Source organism: Homo sapiens, chromosome 12 (assembly GCF_000001405.40).
Source record: "Homo sapiens chromosome 12, GRCh38.p14 Primary Assembly".
Taxonomy (NCBI): domain Eukaryota; kingdom Metazoa; phylum Chordata; class Mammalia; order Primates; family Hominidae; genus Homo; species Homo sapiens.
This window is the reverse complement of record NC_000012.12, coordinates 79,328,223-79,354,377: the sequence shown is the minus strand read 5'-3', so window position 1 is coordinate 79,354,377 and position 26,155 is coordinate 79,328,223. Positions and strand designations below refer to the sequence as shown.

The following is a 26,155-nucleotide window of genomic DNA, read 5'->3' as shown; positions in this document are numbered from 1 at the left end:
TTATGATGACCTTGTGGCATATCAAGAAAATTCCTCACACTTTAATGATTTAGCGGAAAATTAAAAATATAATTGATTTAATCATATGCAGAAGAAGAAAAATTATGTTCAACCGTGGAAGTGACAAGTCCTTGAGTTGACTTTGCTTTTGAGCCAGGGTATACTTTATCCACCACGTTTTACTAAGGTTGGGTTGTATGGAAATTTCAATCCCCACATCTCTCCCATCCTCAATGTCAGCTGTGGAATTAAATGCATTACCATAGGGGTTCACTCTGAAACAGAGATTTCATTATGCATATATATTGAAATGCTGTGTCTTTAATAAATGGTATCGTAGGAACTATGTTAGGCTATCAAATACCTAATAAATAAGTCTCATGGAAAACATTGTTTTTTATATCGTGGGTGAATTTTGACCAAAAACCCCCTCTAAGCTCAACAAAATTATAATCTGTCATGAACACTCTCTTTCAGAAAAGAAGCAAACATTTTCAGCTTTCAATGCCATTAAAAAGACAATTGATACTTTGGCTCCAAAGAAGGAAAATAGATTTCATCTTCTATGCTAATTCCTATGAATTGAGAGTGGCTTCCTGGGGCACTGTGTTGGGATGAATTCTGAGACTGCTTCCAGGCTCCATAGGAAAGAGAACTGTGATCAATTAAGAAGTGGGGAGTCGCAGCATGTGCGCCATGCATTTGGTATCCACGACGAAACAGCATTTGAAAAAAATCAATAAACACTGCAGGCTTACCGGATAAGCCACCCACATCCATCTTCTTCAGGTTCTTTGCCTCCAGAATGACAACAGTCAGCTTACCAGCAGTAGGTACGTAGCGAAGGGAGAAGCAGATATCACCCAATTTCTCTTGCTAAGAAAACCAATAAGAAAGTATTAGCAATTTTTCAAATACAAGTAAATAGAGTTTTAACATATATATTGTAAATTCTTCAAGAGGAGGATTATGTTGATTAGAATTTGAAAATTGTAGGTCCATTGGCATTTACACAGTGGCCTTTCATTGACTAAGGTATCAAGAGTGATAACAGCTTTTTTTTTTTAAGACCATCTATTTCAGTTTTTAACAAAGATCATCTATACTTTAATGTTCATCAAAATATATCTATAATTCAATGGTGCAGGAAATGAGAACAACATGACTTTTTAAAGAGACTTTGTGCTCTGAATAGCACTGCAAAACTCTTGGCAAAATTTTCATGTTTTTATTAAACAGCTTTGAAATAAGCCTAACACTTTAGTTGAATCAATCGACCTAAATTTTTGTCCTTTTACATTTCAAATAGGATTACCTCTAATACTCTAGGTTTTTGGGAAAAGGACTTGCATTTGTGTGTCATTAAATTCTATTTATTGATGAGAAATTCTGAATTCCTGATAGCTGAAATGTAACAAAGTATAAGGTTTCGCACTTTTAGTATTACTCATCTTAAGTGAGGTCTAACTTTTATTCCTAATTCTAAAAATCTGAGCAGCAGGCTAGAAAATTGAAACCCATAGTAACACAATGCAAATGCATCTCATAACTTCTCATGTTATTTCACTGATAACCATACTTTAGGCCCAAAGAACATTCAACAGTCCTGTACTCAGGCATTTTTGAACAACTGATCAAGTGTTTACAATGATGATGGTATAGAGAATTTTACTTTTTTTTTCGGAAAAGACTCCTACTGATTCTCCTGCCTTAAGTGTTTTATTTTCTAGGGTGATTAATTAAGAACCAAATTATTGTTCAACATAAGTAGAATTTGCATTCATATTTATAAGCATGAGATAGAGATAGAGAGAGTGCAAGAGAGAGAGTTTGTTGTATGCCCCTCAGATACTGGAGGCTCTAGAGTGCTTTCTGACATGCAGAATTAGCTATATGGCAAATCAAGACTTATTTTAGTGTTTCCCACAATAAAATGTGAATTCTGATTCTACAGAAGGCAACAGTTATGTCAGACTTCTGCAGATAGACTTTTAACATAGGAATGAGCTACAGAAAGCCATATACTAAGGCACTTTCAAGTAATACCCTTATTATGACTATATGTGTCTTTATCTATAACTTGACATATATGTTAAGTCAGCCAGAGTCTCCAGTGTGGAAATAGGTGCCTAGATGTAATTTAACAGGTAAGAAAATGTAATTCCCCCCCGTTTTTTTTTTGGGGGGGGGGTGTATTCATTATATCCATTTTTCAAAAGAGAAAGATTGTAATTTTTCTATAATTGAGAGGTAATACATTCAATGTGTGAGGGAGAAATAGTGCCTCTTTCTGCTAAAGTAATGTCTGTGCTGGAAACATCACCAAATATGTTTATGGCTCCAAGTGTTTCATTTCTTGAGTCCCCATAGCATTTTACCATACATCTCTATGTTACCAAGAACTCTGTTTTTGTCTCAGTGTGTATATGTCTTAATTCTCCCACATGATTGTAAACTCCTTGAAGACAGGATCCATCATTAAATTATCACTTTCCACACAGTTTCAAAACTTAAATAAGTGGAAACTTTAGAAAATACCTGTTTTGAATTATCTAGGTCATAACCCCCTTTCACTAATATAAATAATAAAGAGTTACTTCTAATGTGCTGAATTCACCTGATGTGCCTACTCACTCCTAGGAATTAATTTATACAACAGGAGAGGCTAGTGGAATAAATTACTCTTCAGAGTATCTGAAAATAATGAATGGGAGACAATATCATGGAAATTAATATAAAATATGGACAAATTTATCTGAACTTTATGGGACAAGAGAAATGTAAATGAACAAAATTGCTGTTCAAAATGCTCGTTAGGAGGAGGGCTCTTTTTTTTTTTTTCGCAGAATTCTGTCTATTTTCCACAATAGCCTCCTTGGGGAACTGATTGTGTTGCAGGATCAGGTTACTCTAACTGTTCTAATTAGGAATTTCAGACATGACTGCTCTCTCTTAAATAACATCTCCCTTTATGGGCCATAATCTAATTCCACGATTAATTTAGGGGCATTGCAATTGTGTTGAACAAAGAAATGTCACAAATGTCTTCTTCCAATACCTTTTATTCCTCAATCTTATGACACATAGGAAGTTTAAAAGATTTTACATAATATTTATCTTCAGAAGAGAGTATTTGTACAGTTTGAAAAAGCATGCTCGGAAGCAGGAGAAATCTGTGATGTTACTTGTAATTTTAAAGTTATGGGATGGGAGAAGAATGAGTGTTTAAGAGAAAAATATGGGCATTTTGGGAGAAAGAAAAATATGGAAAAGTGCTTTTTTAAAGCACCCTTTACAGATCTACATTTGCTTCATTAGTTTAAGAACTTTAACATGTAAAATTTCATTTGCTCATAAAATTATTGTAATTGATATGCCAAATTGAATGTGTAGTTTATATTAATTAACTGAAGTTACTTTTCAAAAAGTTTTAGCATTTTATTACTTCTGGATCTCCAAGATATTTGAAAGCTAGTCCTTGATTTTCCTGAAATTTGTGTCCTTTATGGGCATCAACAAGATAGAGAAAAACTCATTTCCAGAAAAAGGCAAGGAAAATATCCAATTTATACTAACCATTTTCTTGTTAGTGAAATTTTTGGAGGTTTAAGTATATGCTTTCCCTAATGCCCTAAGAATTAGCTTTAATAATTGTCTACCAAAAGTTTGAAAATTAGGGCAGCTTTCTTTTACTACCTGGTGGTTTGATCCAAGATTAATTGATCTAGGATATTTGCAAATATGATTGTCATGTGTTTCTCACATGTTGGGGAGGATGAGGGACTTGAAGTTTATGTGAAACAAGAGCAAGAATATGCATCCTGAGGGCCGGGCGCGGTGGCTCACGCCTGTAATCCCAGCTCTTTGGGAGTCCGAGGCGGGCGGATCACGAGGTCAGGACATCGAGACCATCCTGGCTAACACGGTAAAACCCCGTCTCTACTAAAAATAGAAAAAATTAGCCGGGCATGGTGGCGGGCGCCTGTAGTCCCAGCTACTCTGGAGGCTGAGGCAGGAGAATGGTGTGAACCCGGGAGGCGGAGCTTGCAGTGAGCCGAGATCGCGCCACTGCACTCCAGCCTGGGCGACAGAGCGAGACTCCGTCTCAAAAAAAAAAAAAAAAAAAAAAAAGAATATGCATCCTGGGGAGGCCCTGATACTGCCCGCAAGAAGGACCCTCACGGCAGGACGATCTGGACTTCTGTGTCATCCCCACAAGGTGTGTTCTATTCTGCCCCAGTCAAAACAAGGCTTGTGTTTGTGGCTTATATAGTAAGCCAGTGTTGTTACCCTGAATCAGATTTAAAGACTCATGCCAGTACGAATTTTTGGAAACCAATATTTTCATTTCCTCAGTGAAGTCTTTCACTGAACTTCTGTGATGAGAAGAAAAGCACTTCTGTCCCTAGAGTCTTGTTCTAGCATGTGAAGCTTTTACTATATCTCTTGTCCATCAACATAGAAGAATTAGAAGAACCCAATAGTTTTATATGAACAGTTTTACATCAAACTCTAATTTCATAGTTTTGGCATGCCAGTTTGGAAGAAAGATGGCTGCATAGTAATTTATAAACATTTAATATAAATATTTTATTTATCACTCTAAAGTTCTAGAAACCAAGATTTTCTAAATTAAAAAGAATGTTTTTCTTTGGTGGGATTATGGTGATGGGGACTAAAAGGGTTCTTGGAAAATTTGCAAAGAAAAAAGAAGATACCCAAGTCATATCCTTGCTGCTCCTTGACAATTTTGTCTACTTTTTTCTAGAATAGCCCTGTGAACGAGGTACTGTTATGTCCATTTTATATATAAAGACTTTGAGACTGAGAGGGTGTAGGTTACATAGCTGTCTCAGAGAGGAACTGGGGCAAACTCTTTTAACTCAAAATCATGAGTTTTCTTTACTAGTACACTGCTGTCTGGAATGATAGAAACTAATATCCCAGCTGGCCATCCACTTGGTTATTCCACTCTTACTTTATATCTGTAACTAAATTAATGTTCAATACCAATCCCTCCCCTCAACTATTCTTTCCAACATCTTTCTGTCAGGGTCACTAACTCATCTCCATTTCCTTTCTCTTTGTTTTCCTTTATTCATTTAACCCACAAGTCCTGATATTTCTCATTTTGTAAATGTCTCTCAAGTTAGATCCTTCCTTCCATCGTTCCTTCCTTCCCCTTCCTTCCTTCCCTCCGTCCCTTCTTTCCTTCCTTCCCCTTTTCTTCCTTCCTTCCTCTTCCTTCCTACCTTCCTCCCTTCCTCCTGTTTGTCCGTCCTTCCTTCCTCCCTTCCTTCCCTCCCTCCCTCCCTCCCTCCTTTCTTTCTTTCTTTCTTTCTTTTTCTTTCTTTCTTTCTTTCTTTCTTTCTTTCTTTCCTTCTCTCTTTCTTTCTTCCTCTTTCTTTTTCTTTCTTTTCTTTTTTTCTTTCTTTTTCTTTCCTTTCTTTCTTTTTTCCTTTCTTCCTTTCTTTCTTTCTTTGTCTTTTTTCATCTGTCTTTCTTTCTTTCCTTCCACTTCCACATCCATGTCAATATGAGCACCATCTCTATATGATACTTGTCACTATCACTACCACCTTCACCATCCTACACTATGACCTCTGCTACTACCAACACCACCATTTCAATCACCTCCACCTCCATTTTTACCATCAGTTCCATTGTGGTTAAGCCCTAGTGACATTTCTGTCATATTTTCTGAAGTAGTCTGATTAAAGACCTCTTTAGTTATAGTCTCTTCAAAATTCAATGCATACTACATACTAATGCCAAGTGAATGTTTGAAAGGTCTGAACCCCTCTTCCTGACTTTCAAGAAGTTTTACATTTTGCCTCTGTCCTAAATGTCTAAACCATTTGCTCTTGTTTCACTGCTTCTTCAACCCTTAGAATATATTTTGAACCTGACCACATGCCTTCATTCATAGGGTTATTACTCTAGTCCAAGTAGGGTGACCAAACATCCTGATTTGTTTAAGATCCTCCTGGTTTAAGATCTAAAAGTCCTGCATCCTGGGAAACCCCTCAGTCCCAGGCAAGCCATGACCAGTGGCAACCTTAAGTCCATGTCATTGTCACTTCTGACCTAGACCTCTGTAATAGCCTCATAATAGCCTCTCTGCATCTCTTCTTGCTCCTTTCTAGTTTCCTTCTCACATAAAAGGCAGCATGATCCTTTTAAAATGGAAATCTGATCATGGGACAATCCTACTCAAAGCCCTTTGAGATCTTCCCTTTTTACTTAGAATAACATCTGTTCCTTACACTAAAAGGCCTGATATGATCTGCCCCCTTCGTATCCTACCACTGTTCTCCAGATTTCACTTCCTCTTTCCAAAACATGCCAAACACACTTCTATCTGAGGATCTTTGCATTGCTGTTCCTTCTGTCAGCAATATTCTCCTAGATACTGGTATGAATTGTTTCATTAGTTTATTCAGCTTTCTGCTTGCATGTTACCTCTTTAGGGACTTTTTCTGTGGCCACTCTATCTAATGTAGTCCAATGCAGTCCTAAACACAAACATTACCTCTCCTCTTGCCCTGCTTCTTTTTTGTCTTAGCACCCGTCATTACTTGACATTCTATTATGTCTATTTAGGTTTTCCTCACCAGAATATCAGATCCATAAGAGAAAAGACTTGTTTTTCTTACTGCTGTGTTCCCAGCATTGGAATAGTGTCTATGCCTACTGAATGAGAACATGCAGCTTTCTTACAACTGAATAAGTCAGGTTGGTCTTTTCAGCATCTTCATTTGTCATATGTTGAGTTCTCTGAGGAAGCAGACTCAGGCAGATTTTCAACATGAGGTTTATAGGGGTGTGTCCTTTAGATCAACCCCTCTTTGGGAGTGAGGGAATCAGGATTACACAGGTTGAGAAGTTGGGCTGTGATACAGTTACATCAAGACCTCAGTCAATTCTATGGGGAACTCTGGAGCTGGGAGAGTTCTTCAAAGATATTTGGAAATGGGGCAACAAGGATGAGATTTTATCATCCTGAATCCCCCAAACATTGGATGTGGGCTGCTCCTACATCTTGGGTGAGCATCTTTTCAGCTGAGGGTGATGCCAGGAAGGGGGAACTCAGTTATGAGCTATAAGCCATCAACACTCCTGACAGCCCAGTTAATAAATGCATTGGTCATGAAGATGGTACAAAGATTGGGAAGTTTGCTACAGCAATCACTATTTCTCTGTGAGCTATATTCCTTCCAGTTACCAGACTTTTGCTTAGTTGGAAAATCCATCTGCAATCCTTTATTCCCTTCTGCCTAATCAAATTACTCCTAACCATTAAGCCCTAGTCCATGTTCAAAAAAAAAAAAAAAAAGAAAAAACAAACACACAAACAAACAAAAAAACCTCCTTACTATTCTAGCCCACTTGGATTTCTGCTAGCAATTGCTTTATAGCTGGTAGAATGGTGCCTCGAGATTACTTTTTCCCTATTTATTTCTTACACGTGAGCTCAACTCACCTTAAACTCCAGAAGAGCAGGGACTATATACTACTTTTCTATGCCTAGCTCCAGGCACATAATAAAAGCTTCGAAATAATTGTCAGTTGACTGTATTGAAATGAGGTCCTCACCAGTCATCTGCTTTGTAAATAGCACTGATGTTAGTGCTTTAACAACAGTGTCTCCATTTTAATCCAGTCAAGTAACGAATTTTGTTTGGAGCTCCTCCTTTGTACCTAGTGCTATGGACACTGTCATATTAGCCCTGTCATGAAACTAGAAACAAAACCATTTCTGGAGGTATAGCTTTTATAAGATAATTTCAAGACCCTGTAGGGTTGCAGCCAACACATGAGTGCTTTTGCTGGTGTGATTATCTCATGAAGGGGCCTTATTACTATTAGGAATTTCAGCTTTATGTGTAATTTATTTTAGTCAATTGCCTTGATCACTAGGTGGAAACTGCCAGTTAGTGTTAGAAAAGTTCCAGCTGTGAGATTCAGAGAAATTTACCTGCTCTTTTAGAATATACAGCTGACAATCAGAAGGCAGCTTTGTTCTGAGCAGCTTGATAATTTCATTATTTTTAAAAAAATGCAGCCATTGAATAGACACAAATTAATGATTTACTAGACAACGACAAAAATACCTTTCCTTTTTGAAAAGCATTATAGATAATTAGAACAGAGGTCATCTCCAATGGATAAATAAAAAGCTTGATTTAAAATGAATATTTATTTAATGGCTCTGTAGCCCCATACATCGTTTTATGTGGAAAAAGATGGGTTCATTTTAGTGACCTTTGCAAATGGGGCTAAGTTCATACATTTGATGGAAACACTGTACTCTTGAGTGAGTTTTTCAAAAGTACCTGAATTAATGCTGTGACATTTTAAAAGGACATTCTATTTATGTTAATTGTAAGAAGATTTTTCTATGTGTTAAATTGGCAACAGATTCTTTGATGAGTAGATGGTTTTTCTCTGAGGTTGGGAGTCTTGTTTAGAGGTGACATACAAATGGAGACCCAATTATCTCTCAAATGAAAATTCAGACCATTTGCATAGTCCCCATTAGTAAAAATACTAAAACAGTCTTCACTTATATGAAGGACAATGTTAGGTTTTTAATTTTAATAAGATAATATGTGGCTTTAAATATATCTTTTGGGTGGTAGCATTTTTCAACTTCATTTTATTCCTGCATTACTCTCATACTCCTGAAGTATCTGCCAAATCGGTATTTACATCTAATGGACCAGATGGTCACAGTGTGAAATGTTGCTGTGTAATGTGTTCAGGCTAGAAAGACTGAATCTGGCCTAGTCTACAAATGTATAGTAAATTGTTCAGGTGAAAGAGAGTGTATCTTTGGATGCTTATTCTTTAGGCATACTCTGTAACTCATTGGTTTATATTCGTTCATTTCTTATTAAAAAATAATTACTGAGTTCCACCACAGACTCTTCTAGGTTCTAGTCTAGGCTCTATGGATACCTAGATGAGTAAAAATATAATGCATTGACTGTACTACAGAAGTGGCACAAATGCTATAGGAGGTGAAGATTGAAACCTTCCAGGGTCTAGTAACTAAGGAGAGGGGGACTTTAGAGATTTATTCCCTCAATAATCGTTATAAATTTCTGCAAGCCACCCCAAATGCATGTTCTTTGTAAAACCAATGTGCTGGCCATGCAAATGTAGCTTTAAGACAAGCCTTCTAGTTTTCCCCTTTTAACCAGAGCTGGTGTCTGTGGGAGGAGGAGGAGGGCAGGGGACATATAGGTGTCCTGGAGGAGCGGTTACCTGAGCTGAGATAAGGAAGGTTCGGCAGGAAGTCAGGATGAACCCTGTCCACAAGAGGGCATGAGTGTTCTAGGCACAGGAATGCATGTACACAGTACTATACCCCTTGAACAGCTTAAACCAAGTTACTCTTCTGTAAGTGTAAAATTCATGTAATTTAATTGAAAATGGATTTCCACTTTATGATTTAGAAATTCAAAATTTCCTCATGATGTCCATAATTTATATTTTGATTAACTGATACACTTGTGGTCCCATTAGAAATAATAATTCACAGAAAAGCAGATATTCTGATGTGATCAAAATAAGGATGAAAATAGAAAATCAAAATGCTTCTTAAAAGTGACAGTAGGCCGGGTGTGGTGGCTCATGGCTGTAATACCAGCACTTTGGAAGGCAGAGGCGGGCAGACTGCTTGAGCCCAGGAGTTTGAGACCAGCCTGGGCAACTTGGTGAAATCCTGTCTCTACAAAAAAATACAAAAAAATAGCCAGGTGTGGTGTGATGCGTGCCTATAGCCCCAGCTACTCAGGAGGCTGAGGTGGGAGGATTACTTGGGCCCAAGAGGTGGAGGTTGCAGTGGGCAGAGATCGTGCCACTGTAGTTTAGCCTGGGAGACAGAGCGAGACCCTGTCTCAATAACAAAAACAAACAAAAAGTGACAGTAAAGTACAGTATAGAGTGGTGGAAAGAGCACTGGACCACCATGTGTATTCATTCACTATTTTTTGGTATAACTGATATTTATTGGGTACCTCCTCTGTGCCAGGCACTGTTCTAGGCACTTGGGCACAGTGGTCAGTAAGACACGCAAAGTCAACAAAATAACAGTAAAATAAAAGGCATGTTTGGTGAGGTATGTGCTGTGGAAACATGTAAAGTAGGTGGGGAATAAGGATAGCAATTTGAAACAGGAAGTTCAGGGAATGTCTGTATAAGAAGGATTTGAAGGAGGTGAAATGTGGTCAACTGCTTAACCATCGGGATCCACCTTCCTTGTCTTTATAAAACAGGTCTGGATAACACAGTCCTGAAGGTTCTTCTGGCTGGGAAATCATATATTTCCATGATTTTACTTTATTAGAGCTACCTGTCTAGTTTTTCTCTCTGTTTTACTGGACTGAACTAATAAATGGGTGTTTTAAGCCACGGAGTTTGTGGAAATTTGCACATGTAGTCGAAACCAGTAAATGCACTCAGTTCTTTTTCTCTATCCTTTCCCTCTCTTCTTTAGTTATCTTCATTGCAGATTTCATAAGATAATCCATTGGAGTATGAGAAGACAATATTAGACCTTCTATTTATATTTACTTTTATCCCATATTTTCAAAATTGTGTTTCATTTATATGTTTTATAAAACACATCATATATTGGTATAGCACAATATATATATGATTTATAGAAAGACAGAAATATTGGGAGTATGTGCCAAATATTTTATTACTGACAAAAGACAAAATAACATTTGAGATCTTTCTTTCAACATTAAAATATGCTTAGAAGATTCCTCAGTGACTTTGTAACAACATGGACTCTATAGTCAGGCTACTTAGGTTCAATTCCCAAGTCTGCTTCTTATTACCTACTAAGCCTCAGGCAATGTACTTTCTCTTCTGTGCCTCACTTTTCTAATCTCTAAAATGGAAGAATAGTGATGGAGTCAGTAGAATTACATCAGTTAGTATGTAAAAAAGGAGTTAGAAGAGTTCCTGGCTCACAAAATGTACTGTGTGAGTGTTCGCTATTATCATAACAAAATTCCTATTTCAACTATCCTCTTTTCTACATGTGCCATGTCTCTCTGCTCCTTTGCACAGCCAAATTTCTTGAAGAAATTGGTTACAATCACTGTCCCCATTTTTTCATGTTCCATTGATTTCTCTCTCCATCATTTTATTAAAATAGTTGCTACTAAGATTTCAAATGACATCCATATTACCGAACCATTAATATTTTGCAGGTCTCATTTCCATGAACTTTCAGCAGAATTTATTGACTCCCTTTCTTTCCTTGGATTCTATAATACAATGATTTCCTGATTTTAGTTTCTCTGCCTCCCTGGCCACTCACTCTTGGTCTCCCTTTGCAGGGTGTAGTTATAACTAACTTCTTTTCTTCATAAACTAATCTTATCCCAGTATATGGTTTTAGTTATAATATGGAAGTGATTCTCCAGTTTGTATCTCTAGTTTAGATATTTTCTCTAAGCCCCAGACTTTTATATCTAACTGTCCACTAGTCATTGAATATCTCACACTCGTTTTAGACTCGAATGCCAAAAACTGAATTTATGATCTTTCTTCTAAATCTGGTTCACTCGATTTCAACAAATGATATTAGCATCCAAGGGGTTGCTTAAGCCAGAAAACTGGGCATTATCACTGATCGTTGATCATTGACTTCTTTTGAGTTCTGATTTTATTTATCATAAAATCTCTCAATAAGTTCACTTGTTTCCATCCTTATAGTCTTCACCATGTGATCAAATAATCTCTCATATAGATTACTCCAATACCCTCTTAATTGGTTTCCTGAAATTTACTCTTAGAATACAATTGACAGAGTCACCTTTTAAATAACAGGCATCGTATCTCACTCCTATAATCCCCGCACTTTGGGAGGCCAAGGAGGGCGAATAGCTTGAAACCAGGATTTTGAGACCAGTCTGGGCAATGAAGCCAGACTCTATCTCTACAAAAAACAAAAAAATAGCCGGGCATGGTGGTGCATGCCTGTGGTTCCAGTGACTCAGGAGGCTGAGGCAGGAAGATCAGTTGAGCCCGAGAGTTTGAGTCTTCAGTGAGCTATGATTGTGGCACTGCACTCCAGCCTGGGCAACAGAGCAAGACCCTGTCTCTAAAAAACAAAACATCAAAAAACCAAATCTTAAAATCCTTAAGTAGGTCTCCTATCTCTCTTGAGTTAAAAGGCCCAAATTCTTATGATCATTTAGAATAATCTTCAAGTTCTATTTCCTACTTATTCCTCTGCCTCATCAAATGCCTCTTTCTCCCTCTGCGCAACAGCCACAAGGGGAAAGCCTTCTTTATATCATTAACTGTGCCACGCCACCTACACTTTCAGAGGCTTCACATAAACAGTTCCTTTTGCTTGACATTCTGCCCTCTTGCCACCCTCCCGTTTACTTAGTTAACTTTCACTCATCTTTCACATCTTTCTGAATGACGAGGCGGGTGGATCACGAGGTCAGGAGATCAAGACCATCCTGGCTAACACGGTGAAACTCCGTCTCTACTAAAAATACAAAAAATTAGCTGGGCATGGTGGCGGGTGCCTATAGTCCCAGCTACTTGGGAGGCTGAGGCAGGAGAATGGTGTGAACCTGGGAGTTGGAGCTTGCAGTGAGCTGAGATCATGCCACTGCACTCCAGCCTAGGCAACAGAGCGAGACTCTGTCTCAAAAAAAAAAAAAAAAAAAAAAAAAAGAATGAATGTATTTATTAAGTATTCCACTCTGGCAGAGACTGCCAGAGTCTCTGTAGTTTACCAAAAGTCCACGCTCTTCTTCCTGAGAACACAGCTAGACTACATTTCCCAGCCTTTCTTGTAGTTAGATGTGGTCTTGTGATTGGGTTCTAGCTAATGGAATGTGAACAGAAGTGATGTGCACCACTCCTAGACCCAGTCCCCCAGAACTCCTACCCATGATTTTTTTTCTTTTCTATGTCTGTGATAGTGACCTCAGAGTGACCTTGGAAGCTACATGCTGAAATGCTGAAGATGGCAGAGGTTCAGTGAGACAGGATCCTTGAAGATTTAATAAAGCAGAGCCCTACCTGCCAAGACTTCTCTTTTGCAGAACCCATTACGTGTTTGGGCCTATTTGTTATTGTAGCCTAGCCTGAAATAATTAATACTAATAATAAATAAATGACTTCTAAACAGTGTTTTCAGAAGTATAATTAGTGATCCACTTAAAAATCTGTGGTTTGTAGAAAATGAGTAAAGCTTAGTCTTATATGTCAAACCCTTATGTTGGGTTTTCAATATGCCAGTCATGCTACAAAGAACTAGAAACAAAGGATGATTAAAACATGTCTTTGCCCTAAGAAGCTTTTTCAATGCTGGCATGAACAGGCATATAAACAAAAATTCAACATAAAATTGTAGGTGTCATTATAGAAACATGTATTAGGAAGGACCACTATAGAGAAAGTAGAGGAATTTGTAAATAATTACTACTGTGACTTTTTAGTGGAGAGTAGGGAAAAGTGAATTCCAAAAGTGTCCTTGTCAAAAGATTCTTTATGCTATAGTGTGCTGAGGTACTTGAAATTCTACCATTTATTACCTTTAGCTAAAGCTTTAGATCTCTATGGGTCCTTTAAAACAATATGAAACACTGTTTCACCCCCTAATGGGCAACATGGCATCCATCATGGTATGAAATTGTAGTTGGCCAGAGGGCAATCAGGCAAGGGAAAGAAATAAAGGGTATTCAATTAGGAAAACAGGAAGTCAAATTGTCCCTGTTTGCAGATGACATGATTGTATATTTAGAAAACCCCATTGTCTCAGCCCAAAATCTCCTTAAGCTGATAAGCAACTTCAGCAGTCTCAGGATACAAAATCAATATGCAAAATCACAAGCATTCTTATACACCAATAACAGACAAACAGAGAGCCAAATCATGAGTGAGCTCCCATTCACAATTACCACAAAGAGAAAAAAATACCTAGGAATCCAACTTACAAGGGATGTGAAGGACCTCTTCAAGGAGAACTACAAACCACTGCTCAAGGAAATAAAAGAGGACACAAGCAAATGGAAGAACACTCCATGTTCATGGACAGGAAGAATGAATATCATGAAAATGGCCATACTGCCCAAGGTAATTTATAGATTCAGTGCCATCCCCATCAAGCTACCAATGACTTTCTTCACAGAATTGGAAAAAACTACTTTAAAGTTCATATGGAACCAAAAAAGAGCCCGCATTGCCAAGACATCCTAAGCAAAAAGAACAAAGCTGGAGGCATCACACTACCTGACTTCAAACTATACTACAAGGCTACAGTAACCAAAACAGCATGGTACTGGTACCAAAACAGACATATAGACCAATGGAACAGAACAGAGCCCTCAGAAATAACACCACACATCTACAACCATCTGATCTTTGACAAAACTGACAAAAACAAGAAATGGGGAAAGGATTCCCTATTTAACAAATGGTGCTGGGAAAACTGGCTAGCCATTATGTAGAAAGCTGAAACTGGATCCCTTCCTTACACCTTATACAAAAATTAATTCAAGATGCATTAAAGACTTAAATGTTAGACCTAAAACCATAAAATCCCTAGAAGAAAACCTAGGCAATACCATTCAGGACGTAGGCATGGGCAAGGACTTCATGACTAAAACACCAAAAGCAATGACAACAAAAGTCAAAATAGACAAATGGGATCTAATTAAACTAAAGGGCTTCTGCACAGCAAAAGAAACTACCATCAGAGTGAACAGGTAACCTTCAGAATGGCAGAAAATTTTTGCAATCTACCCATCTGACAAAGGGCTAATTTCCAGAATCTACAAAGAACTTAAACAAATTTACAAGAAAAATCAAACGACCCCATCAAAACGTGGGCAAAGGATATGAACAGATACTTTTCAAAAGAAGACATTTATGCAGCCAACAGACACATGAAAAAATGCTCATCATCACTGGTCATCAGAGAAATGCAAATCAAAACCACAATGAGATACTATCTCACAACAGTTAGAATGGCGATCATTAAAAAGTCAGGAAACAACAGGTGCTGGAGAGGATGTGGAGAAATAGGAACACTTTTACACTGTTGGTGGGAGTGTAAATTAGTTCAACCATTGTGGAAGACAGTGTGGCAATTCCTTCAAGGATCTAGAACTAGAAATACCATTTGACCCAGCCATCCCATTACTGGGTATATACCCAAAGGATTATAAATCATGCTGCTATAAAGACACATGCACACGTATGTTTATTGCAGCACTATTCACAATAGCAAAGACTTGGAACCAACCCAAATGTCCATCAATGATAGACTGGATTAAGAAAATGCGGCACATATACACCATGGAATACTACGCAGCCATAAAAAAGGATGAATTCATGTTGTTTGTAGTGACATGGATGAAGCTGGAAACCATTATTCTGAGCAAACTATCACAAGGACAGAAAAACAAACACTGCATGTTCTCACTCATAGGTGGGAATTGAACAATGAGAACACTTGGACACAGGGTGGGGAACATCACACACGGGCCTGTTGTGGGGTCGGGGGATGGGGGAGGGATAGTATTAGGAGAAATACCTAATGTAAATGACGAGTTAATGGGTGCGGCAAACCAACACAGCACATGTATACATATGTAACAAACCTGCACATTGTGCACATGTACCCTAGAACTTAAAGTATAATAAAAAAAAAGGGAGGGAGGGAGGGAAGAAGGAAGGAAGAAAGGAAGTAAGGAAGGGAGGGAGGGAGGGAGGCAGGGAGGGATTGAAGAAAAAAAAAAGAGAAATTTTAGTTGGTCAGGTGTGGTGGCTCACAGTTGTAATCCCAGTTTGTTGGGAGGTCAGGGTGGGAGGATCACTTGAGCTCAGGAGTTCAAGACCAGCCTGGGCAACAAAGCGACTAAAAATAAAAATTAAAGAAAATTAGTGGTGGTGTATGCCTGTAGTCCCAGTGACTTGGGAGGCTGAGGTAGGAGGTCGGGGGATTGCCTAAGCCCAGGAGTTTGAAGCTGCAGTGAGCTATGATTTGTACCACTGCCCTCCAGCCTGGGTGACAGAGTGAGATCCTGTCTCAAAAAAGAAAAAAAAAAAGGAAAAAGAAAAAAGAAAAAAAAATTAGTTGACATTTTCTTGGAATATGGATGATTTCTCTAAGTCAATGGAAATGGTGAAAAATGGGGAAGATGGTAGGTGAGCCCCATAGCTTGGGTGCTGCTCTCGGTAGAGGGCTAAGTAGGAATCCAGGCAAATGGCCAATTGCCTAAGGACATGCGAAGTGGAAAGAAACTAATGGAGAACAGTTTGGGGATGGCGTCCAAAGACAAACCTTTTACCAAGTTGCTTTGTCACTTTAACATTCTCCCTCTGTCAACCACATGTCCTCGGTTTTCTGGGTCAAATCCAATTTTAAACATTCTACTTTCCTGTCCTCACCTGACTTTGAGGCTCTGGGATAAAGCTGCCTCATAGTGATTTGGATTATGGGAACCAGTATTATCTTCTGTTAAAATGTAAATGTAAGTGTGGATACCAAGTAATTTTGAAATATGGGCAACATGTATTTCTAAATAACAATGCAGATTTGACCTGCACAGTTAGAAAGGAGGCATTTTAAAGCAATATGCCAGAAAGTGTGCTCTTGATCCTGGAGCGTTCATGAAAAACAGTGGCAGATAAACCTTGGAAGGCATTGTTTAGTACTTTTAACTCTGAGAAGCATAATCTTTAGTGGCAGAGATATGTATCTGAATGATTTATACACAGGCTTCCTGACAGAGCAGCATTACCTTTTTACTAATGATACTCAATGACTGCAAGGACTTTGTATCCTGAAGTTCTGTCACTCTGTAGCTACTTCTGCTAGTGCATCCTAATTAACTTGAGAGGACATCATGGGGAAAATGGGGTCTTGATGCAGAAAGCTCAGAAGCTAGGATGTTGTTCTATCCAAAGAGTATTTTTCTCTTTTTAGTTCTGGGACAATAGTATCCAAGAAGAAATCTCTGGAGGGAATAGGAATGGCCACGCAATTTGGAGATGTCATTACCCAAGGAAAGTTTTCCTTCTTGTCAGGGAGCTGTCATAAAAGAGGAGCTGTGGGGAATGCCCAGCAGACCTGAGTTCTGCCACTAATCAGCTCCTAGGTGCACTCTGAGCATGTTCTCCTCCCACCATTAAAATGGATAAATAATATCTTCTTTGTCTACTGCAATATTGACTGTAAATGTCTATTTACCTATCAGTGAGGATGGCACACAATCTATCTGTGAGCCAAGGGGTCCCAACACTGGGGGGAGGGGAACCAAAAAGGAGGACATGAAAGACATGGGATAGACTAAGGCAAGTCACACAGAAGATGGTGAGGAGAGAAGAGCTATTTAAAGGAGTGTTAGGGGCTGGGCACAGTGGCTCATGCTGTACTCCCAAAATTTTTGGAGGCTAAGGCAGAAGATCTCTTGAAATCAGGAGTTTGAGACCAGCCTGTGCAACAAAACAAGACCCTGTCTCCACCCCCCAAAATAAAAAATAATAAAAATAAATAAATACATAACATGAAATAAAAAATAAATAATTGGCCCAGCATGGTGGTGTGCACCGGTCATCCCAGCTATTCCAGAGGCCGAGGTGGAAGGATTGCTTGAGCCCAGAAGTTATAAGGAGGCTGCAGTGAACTATGATTGCCACTGCACTCCAGCCTGGGTAAAAGACTGAGATCCTGTCTCAATGAATGAATGAATGAGTGCAGTGTTAGGGAGGTCAGAGGGGGCCAAAGCCAGCTTCTCTACTTTTGGCTCTAGCTTGCCATGGCCTCTGTCAACAGCAAATGCAAATGGGACACTTAAAAAAGGAGAGAAGACACAAAAAAAGGCAAAGAATTGCAGTTAGAGAGGCAAAGCCGTAGGAAAAATAGAGAAAGATATAGAGGAGAAAAAAGAAGCTTGAGGAAGAGAATAAAGGGGAAAAAGTGCCAATTTGTCTATTTTATCTTCCATTAGGAAGAGGACAGAAAGAAGAGAGAAGATAAGGAAAATCAACTCAGGAATCGTGGGGAAAGCAGTGGAAGGATTTTGAAAGACTTTTTTTGTGGACTTACTTCATAATGGATGAGAGCTGTTGCCTGGAGAGGGACTATGTGGCAGGACCCTAATTATCAGTTCAATTGGGAAGAACCCAGGAGACATATTTGCAGTAATTCAAATCCACAGAAATAAAGAGTTTGATGTGAACCTCAGATGATAGAGAAAATGGATATATTTTGTAGGCTGTATCAGGAGAAAAAGCAGTAGGCACTGGTGATTTCCCCAAGCAAGTTAAAGCCAAAGGCTGTTAGTTCTCTTCAAGACTGTAACACAGGAGATAGGTCATATGGCAATTTCATTGAAAAATCCCATTATGATGTAGTAAAGTTTCATTAACAGCAGCAGAGAAATTTGGCATTAGGATAGGGAAACATAAGTATGGAACAGAAAGCTGTCAAGGTGAACATGGGCATTCTACTTTCCAGCTGCTTTTAATCCAGAACAGAAACAAGTTCTGGCTGTTGCTGGAACAGCCAGAGATGTCCTTTATATGTGTGTTGACAAATCACATGAGAAGAAAGTGCTTGGAGAAAAGTCTCAGATAAGGAAAAGGTAGCATGAGAGGTTTAGCACAGGGTATGTGTTTTTGAATGGATGGACCCTAAAAAGAGGTTGTCATTGGGTATTTTGGGTATGTGTGTGTGTTGGTAAACTATTGTTGATTGAATGGAGGAAAATGTTATCAATGTTACATATTATTTATACTTCTCTCAAAATGGATTGAAAGGTACAGCAGGAATTTAAATAAGCTAGTCGGAAGAGCAAGAGCCAAGATAAAGGTGCCTGGAGAAGATGGTTCTTGCAGAGGAAAGGGAAACCACTGCCTTTTCAAACACGGACCTGTGTTTGAAGTCCACAGAAGATTAAAGAAAAGATTGCGAGTAAAAAAAAAAAAAAAGCATCAGAGAACACAAGCAAAGGCATACAAGGAAAGGAAAGGCATAAGAACACACAGAAGAAATACGAGGAAAGGCTGGAAAAACAGACAAACATAACAGGCTTTCTGTGGATAAAACCCAAGTTCCAGGAAAAAGGACTATCTGACAAGAGGAGACATTAGATTCCAGAAAGAAAGATCTAGTTGAAAGGGTCTTGGGGGACTAAATAAAATCGTACAAGTGTAGGAAAGCACTGCTTGCCGTGTTGGAAGCAGAATGGAATTTACTATTAAGCACAAGCACTTTACTATAATGTAAAGAGGGAGGTCAACACACCTGAAGGGATAGGCTTGGGATGTTTTGATACTCATCAGTAGGGGAAGAATGTCACCTGGAGTGGGGGAATGAATTGTGGGAGAAGGAAAAAGTGAGTTAGATGTGTCAATGTGTCGTGAGAAATAAAAAAGACCAGCTTTGTGAATGTTCCTGGCTCTCCTAATATTTACAAGCAAGAAGGATTAACACAGTAGACATGGGAGGGTCCTGGTTAAACATAACCTGACCTCTTGACAGGCTTTTGGAAAAGGTGATCCCACTTGAAAAGATTTTTAAGAATACAAAGGGCAACCTATGAAGATGATGCCAGAGTAGAGGATGAAGTCTATGGACATAAGAAGAAAAATGATGAAAGTATTATCAAAGAAATATCAAAGGAGATTAAGCTTACACAACAGAAATCTTACTACGTGAAAGCAAATTCATATAGGGTTGCAGGAAATAGAACAAGGAGAGCGGATGCGTGCATGTTCTCGATTGCACCATGTTCTTGTGCCTCCAAGCCTTTGAACGTGCTGCTTCATCTGCCTGGTACAACTTCCCTTCCCTTGTTTTCCTACTGGTCTCCTACTTATTTCTCACTGTCATATCCTCGCCGAGCCTTTCCCTGACCATTCTCGTTCAAGTTTGGCCCTTCTTCTTTCTTTGCATTTCTGTAACACCTTCCCAAACCCTCAGTATAGCACTTGCAATATTGTGCCGTAAATATCTGCTCACCTTTCTCCCTCTTTCATTAAATATGTCCTGGGTTTTAATCGGTTTGCCTAACAGTGTGCACCATATGAATATAGAGTTACAGACAAGAGAGATTTTTTTTTTTAACTGTGGGAAAGGCATAGGACAGAGAAAATAGTCATTCTTAGTTTGTACCTCAGTAAGAAAAGTTTGGAGTTAGTTGGTCAAGACCATGAGGTAAAAATGAAAAACTAAGCTACAGGCAATAGTGATATTAAAAAGAAAAAGCTGCCTAGCACATAGCGTATACTCAGTAACTTTTTTTTGAAGAGTTAAGATACATTTGGGTTTCTCATTAAAAGCAAAGGTAAAAATATAAAGTAGGATTTTGGGTATCAATGTTTCCAGAAGGGGAGCAATGTCACGGACCATGTATAAAGTTTATTGGAGAATTAACTTGGCAGGAAAAAATGTAAACAAGACAAAGAGAAAACAATCACAATTTGAGAAAAATGAATAGGTTTGAAAAATGATACATAAACAACATTGGGAATTTGGCTGGTTTGTTGTTTGTTGTTAGATTTATAAATAATAATGTAACTATCTTTTATAACAAAGAGCTGGTAGGAATAAACAAGTCAAAACATAAAAGTGTTGAGAAATTAAACCTGTTCTATAAATGAAAGATGCCAATATTTTTTTTCTTGCTAGTTTAATGCCAGTAGAATAACCCTTTCTAAAAAGCGTTTTCCTGACTTTGCCTCATTATTTTTTAAAGACATTGAGTGGCTGAATCTTGTAAAGATGCAAAAAAACCCTCTTTAGATTTAGATTTAGATATGAGTGAACCTTGTAAAAATGCAAAAAAGCCCTGATTACTTGATGACATAGTAGCTGAGGTGGAATATCTGAATTTCTGAATAGGTACACTGTGCTGTGAATGTTTGTGTCTCCTCCGCAGAATTCATACATTGAAATCCTAACTCCCAAGGTGATGGTATTAGGAGGTGAGGCCAATGGGAGGTGATTAGGTGATGAGGGCTGAGTCTTCCTGAATGGGATGAGAGTCCTTGTAAAAGAGGCCAGAGAGAATTCCTTTGCCCCGTCTGACATGTGAGGACATGGTGAAAAGACCATGAGCCAGTAAGCGGACTTCATCAGACACTAAATTTGCTGGCACCTTCATCTCAGACTTCTCAGCTTCCAGAACTGTGAGAAATAAATTTTTGTTGTTTATGAGCCACCCAGTTTATGGTATCTTGTTATAGTAGCCTAAATGGACTCAGACAAGATATAAAACCTAATGATAACTATGGCCATTTTAGTCACATCTGGGGAAATTATAACCCTCTGTAGATGGAATGCTATGAGAATTGTAAGGATTCTTTACTTGAAATAAAGAAGAAAGCACAATTTATCTTTTGTGTGACAAACATGTTGCATCTACTGGATAGTTTCATAATGTCACTGTGAAAATAATATAATTAGATTGTGGGTAATAGAAACAAAATCTTTTTCATGCACAGTCCATTTAATTCCATTTTGGGGTATAGGTAAGAGAGTGTGTGAAGTAGAAAATGTAGACACATAGATTAAGAATTTGAATTCAGATTTTCATATAACTAGCTAAATGACGTATTTGAAACAATGTAAAGAAACGTGCTTAATGAGTTACCTCCTTCACAAAGCAGGTTAAAAAGAACCAATTCAAAGATGACAAGGGAATACCTCCCACAATATCTACATTAAACTCATACTTTCTTAGTGAAGATGTCCCATCTGCATATTACTTCTTTTTCGGAGTTACTGACTTTTATTCCTTTGATGGTGATCTTCTGTTCTCATTCATTTCTGCATAAAGGTTATGCAACTAATTAGTGTATTTCCCATGTAGGCCTTAAATGCATTGCATGTTGTGGTAGAGTTACAGAGAAAGTCAAGATCATCTCTAAGTATATTTGGAATTCAATTTGCCAAGATTTCACAAATCGTTCATTCTGCAGAAACGATTTAGTTTCCATCTGGTTTGCCTAGGGGAAAGTTCACTGGTGTTCATTGTTAAGAAAATCAGAACATCATTAGGGAATTCAATGGTCCTTTGCATGAAAATGTGATGTCACTAAATCACACAATGCAAAAATATAGTTTATCTGCAAATGTATGATGTGAATTTGAATGAAAGCCATCCTTTTCAGACAAAGAAAGAAAATAGGTATATCTTGTTTGTTTCATTTTGCATGTATTCACACTGACAGCTGGAGTGACCCTGCTGAGATACCAGGGATTTTTTGGTTATGTAAAGTTCATCACAGATTTTTGTGAGAAATGACTAATAGAGGATATATTTTTTTAACAGCATATGTTATGCAATTGTAACTTTAGGCATTCTAAACTACGACAATTTTCCTCCTTATTTGTGATGGCATTCTGGCTTTCAACTTTTGAGCATCACATTTTGATGAAGAAAAATTAATAAGTTTCTAGAAAAATGTAAATGAGAAAAATGATCCATACATTGCTAATCAATTTCACCAGATAACTTTTATCATTTTTTATGACTTTATTTTTTTTTGTGGCTTTTACCTATAATTTTATTATATGATATCCTATTGGGCAGAGATCAAACTAAACATTCTTAAAAAGTTATTTTTTTCCACATGTGGAATCTCATAAAAGCATGTTTACTACTAACACTGTAATTTAAAGAAGTTTGTAGATGTCCAGGAAATCTGCTTCATAAAGGTAGTAACTATTGTCTAATAAATTCTGCAAAGGGATAAAAAATGCTGCAAAGGGACAAATTATTTCTATTGCTTTAAAATGCATATTAATTCTTGGCAAAATAAAAGAAGAAAATAACTCAAAAGACATAAATTTAAAAATTCACACAAATTTTAGATGTCCTAAAAAGTCTTTCAACTAGGAGAATATGAAAAATCTAATGGACAGTATTTTGAATTTAAAGCTGAAAAGAGTATATGCACAATTGTGTTATCTGAAAAAAGCCTTTAGGCAGTTGAAGTCCTTGAATATTTCAGACCATTTGGCTGAAGGAGATGAATCATAGATATATATGACCACTTTTGCAAGCTGTTAAGAAAAAAGAAGAATCTTGTAGGTTTATGTTGTGGGAAAAATTTAAAGAAAATGTGTAAAATTACAAAAGGTGACTTCTAAATTTATCCAGAGTGAAATTCAAGGTAGAGAAATGAGCCAATGATGTCGCTTATAGGTGAGATTGGTACAGTTAGGTGGGAAAGCTTTCTGAAAGAAGCTGTTGCTGTTATAAATTAAGAACACTTCTCAATTGCATGTGAGGGTAAAATTGAACAGGTTACAGAGTTAAGCTGGGGCAATTTTTCCTGGGGTCACTAAGAAATATTTCCTAGGTTTATGAATAAGGAACTGCAGGAAACGAAAATGGACTGGAAGTTAAGTCTGTATGCCTGAAAGATGTTAGGTTCCCAAGATGATTTTAGAGACAGTGAGTGCCATAATTAAGACTACAGTTAGTCTCCTGGGTTCAAAAATTCTGGCTTACCACTTACTAGCTATGTGATCTGGTAATATTCTTAAACCTTATGGACCTTCATGTCCTCATCAGGAAAATCCAAATGATAATAGTACCTAAGTGAAAGGACCGTTCTGTGGATTTAACGGATTAATACATATGAAGTGCATACAACAGCACCTGGCATATACTAAGTGCTCAATAAATGTTAGTCAATGTCAACAACAGGCTATCACTTATGGAACAGCTTCTATATGCTAGGTATTTCACGTAAGTTATTTCATATCTTCACAGCCCTGAAATATAGTTATTATCTCCATTTTGTGAATGAACAAATTGAGAGTCAGCCCTGTGAGGTAATTTTCCTAATGTTATTAGAACTCAGAAAACAGGTCTGTTAAGCACAGACATCCATGCTCTTTCTTCTATGTAGTGAAAGTTTCTGAAATTTTAATTTTCTTCTTATACTGGATCATTATTTAGGAGTACTCAGCATCATGCCAGTACGATACTGTTAGCACAAGGTGCTGATCTGGAAGAGAAATCACACAGCAGAATTTCCCTGGTGCAAGTGTTCACAGCCAGATTCTTCATCTCTAATATTATGCATCATCTGTTAAGCAATTTGTAATTGCTTTCATGTCTTCCTGAATGCACAGGAAACAGCAGGCTACAATTCCTGAATGACCGTCTCAAGGTCTTCCATGGAAATCTGTAGACTGTTGAGGTGAAAGGGTTTCTCAGAGGAGCAGAATCATGTCCAAACACAAGCTTCTGATTTTCCTTTACATTCCTGAGGTTGCCTGAGTTAAACAGATTGACTAAGAGGAGATGTATTACAGTGCCTTGACTCAGGAGGGGTAATAAAATTTATTCCTCTCTCCTTATAGGGATTTAATGAGGTCAAATACGATAAAATAGGTGGAAAGATATGCTTTCTGCAAAAAAGAGGGATAAATGCAAGAAAGGGATTATTTTAAGGAGTGAATTAGAAAAAGATAAAAGCAAGCCACCTTCTCTAAACAAGCAATAAGTGCTATCTTCTCCGTTTCCATATGGCTGAAGGTCAATGGATACAGTGTAGAGATGGCTGTGTGAGTGAAGCACCTGTTAGGTTACACAGAGTAGGAGTTTGCAGCTGAAGCCTTAAGTCAGACAGACACAGCTTGGAAACTCTGGCTTGCCACTTACTAGATAGGTGACCTTGTGCAGATTGTTTCATTTCTCTAAGCTTGTTTCCTATTGTATAAAATGGGGATAATAATTGTACTGATCTCACCTGGTTGTGAGGATTAAATGAGATGAGATGAGATAAAGTGGTCAGAACAGTGCCTAGAATGTGGAAAGTGTACATGCATGCTAGTTATTTCATTATTATTCAAGTACAGTAGCATTCCCATCCATAGGTAATTAAGAATAATTTTAAAATGTTTTATCCAACTTTGTGTATTTCGTGCTCAGCTAGTGCCTGGCACATAGCAGACACTTATATTTTCAGTATATTAATTAATGGAAAGATAATGTCATGTAAGTGTTCATATAGAGACATTCCCCTAAGTCAGCTCTCTTACCAGGTTTTTCTTAGACACACAGAAGAGCACATGGAGTGAGGCCTTGTAAGACATCTATGTGGAGGTGTGTATCTTACCACACTTGGGCCCTTTCCAAGGCTCTCCTTCTGCAGGGTTGCTTACGGCCTCCTCACCCAGTGGGTCTTTCAGAGCTGAAGTCCACTGAATCTTGTGCTTGGATAACACAGTTTGGATTTCATTTTCCACTTAACCCCTCTGTGGCCATGAGCTTGGATCAGCACAATAAAGAGCGGATGATTGTAGCGGTTTGTTATACCTGGCTGCTAACTGGGATGTGTTGAAATGGAAATCACAAAGTCCATGAGGAAACCTGAAAATGCAGCATCCTAAGCTGCAAAGATAAAGGCCATGCTTGCTATTCTTCAGGGCATTTTTTTTCCTTTGGAATTCTTTTGAAAGAAAAAAACATGGTTTTATGATTTCTTTGTGAGTAATTTTTTTTTTTTTTTTTGAGATGGAGTCTCGCTCTGTCGCCCAGGCTGGAGTGCTATGGCGTGATCTTGGCTTACTGCAAGCTCTGCCTCCCGGGTTCAGGCCATTCTCCTGCCTCAGCCTCCTGAGTAGCTGGGACTGCAGGTGCCTGCCACCACGCCCGGCTAATTTTTTGTATTTTTAGTAGAGACGGGGTTTCACTGTGTTAGCCAGGATGGTCTCGATCTCCTAACCTCGTGATCTGCCCGCCTCAGCCTCCCAAAGTGCTGGGATTACAGGCGTGAGCCACCGCACCCGGCCATGAGTAATTTTAAAGAAGTGTTAGGTTGGTAAAGAGATAGTGGAATCAGATAAATTAAATAATGCTCCTTGACTGTGGGTATGGTACTATTTAGGAGAACATTAAATACTGCATATAAAACATTAAAACAAGTTGTGGTGGGGTAAAAAAGGATGTAATATCATCTTAAATAGAAATGAACTCTGTTTTAATGAACATGTCCAAAACAGAACTTAATGTTTTCCCTTAAAATTAGTGCATCTTCCTGTAATTTCATTTATTGTCCTGTTTGCTCATTTCTCAGTCAACCAAACTAATTGAAATTATTTTCAATAGCTTTCTCTGCCCCTCACCTCTCTATC

General features: G+C 38.1%; 1 protein-coding gene across 16 annotated transcripts in view; it reads right to left on the bottom strand.

The window, feature by feature from the left end:
- The window catches only part of SYT1 (synaptotagmin 1), a 588,027-nt gene that overhangs the window by 97,631 nt on the left and 464,241 nt on the right, over positions 1-26,155 (bottom strand). For all 16 annotated transcript variants that reach the window (NM_001135805.2, NM_001415940.1, NM_001415943.1 and 13 more), the window contains one exon: positions 759-876. In NM_001135805.2, the coding sequence (NP_001129277.1) occupies positions 759-876 (118 nt within the window). The remainder of the gene's footprint in view (positions 1-758; positions 877-26,155) is intronic.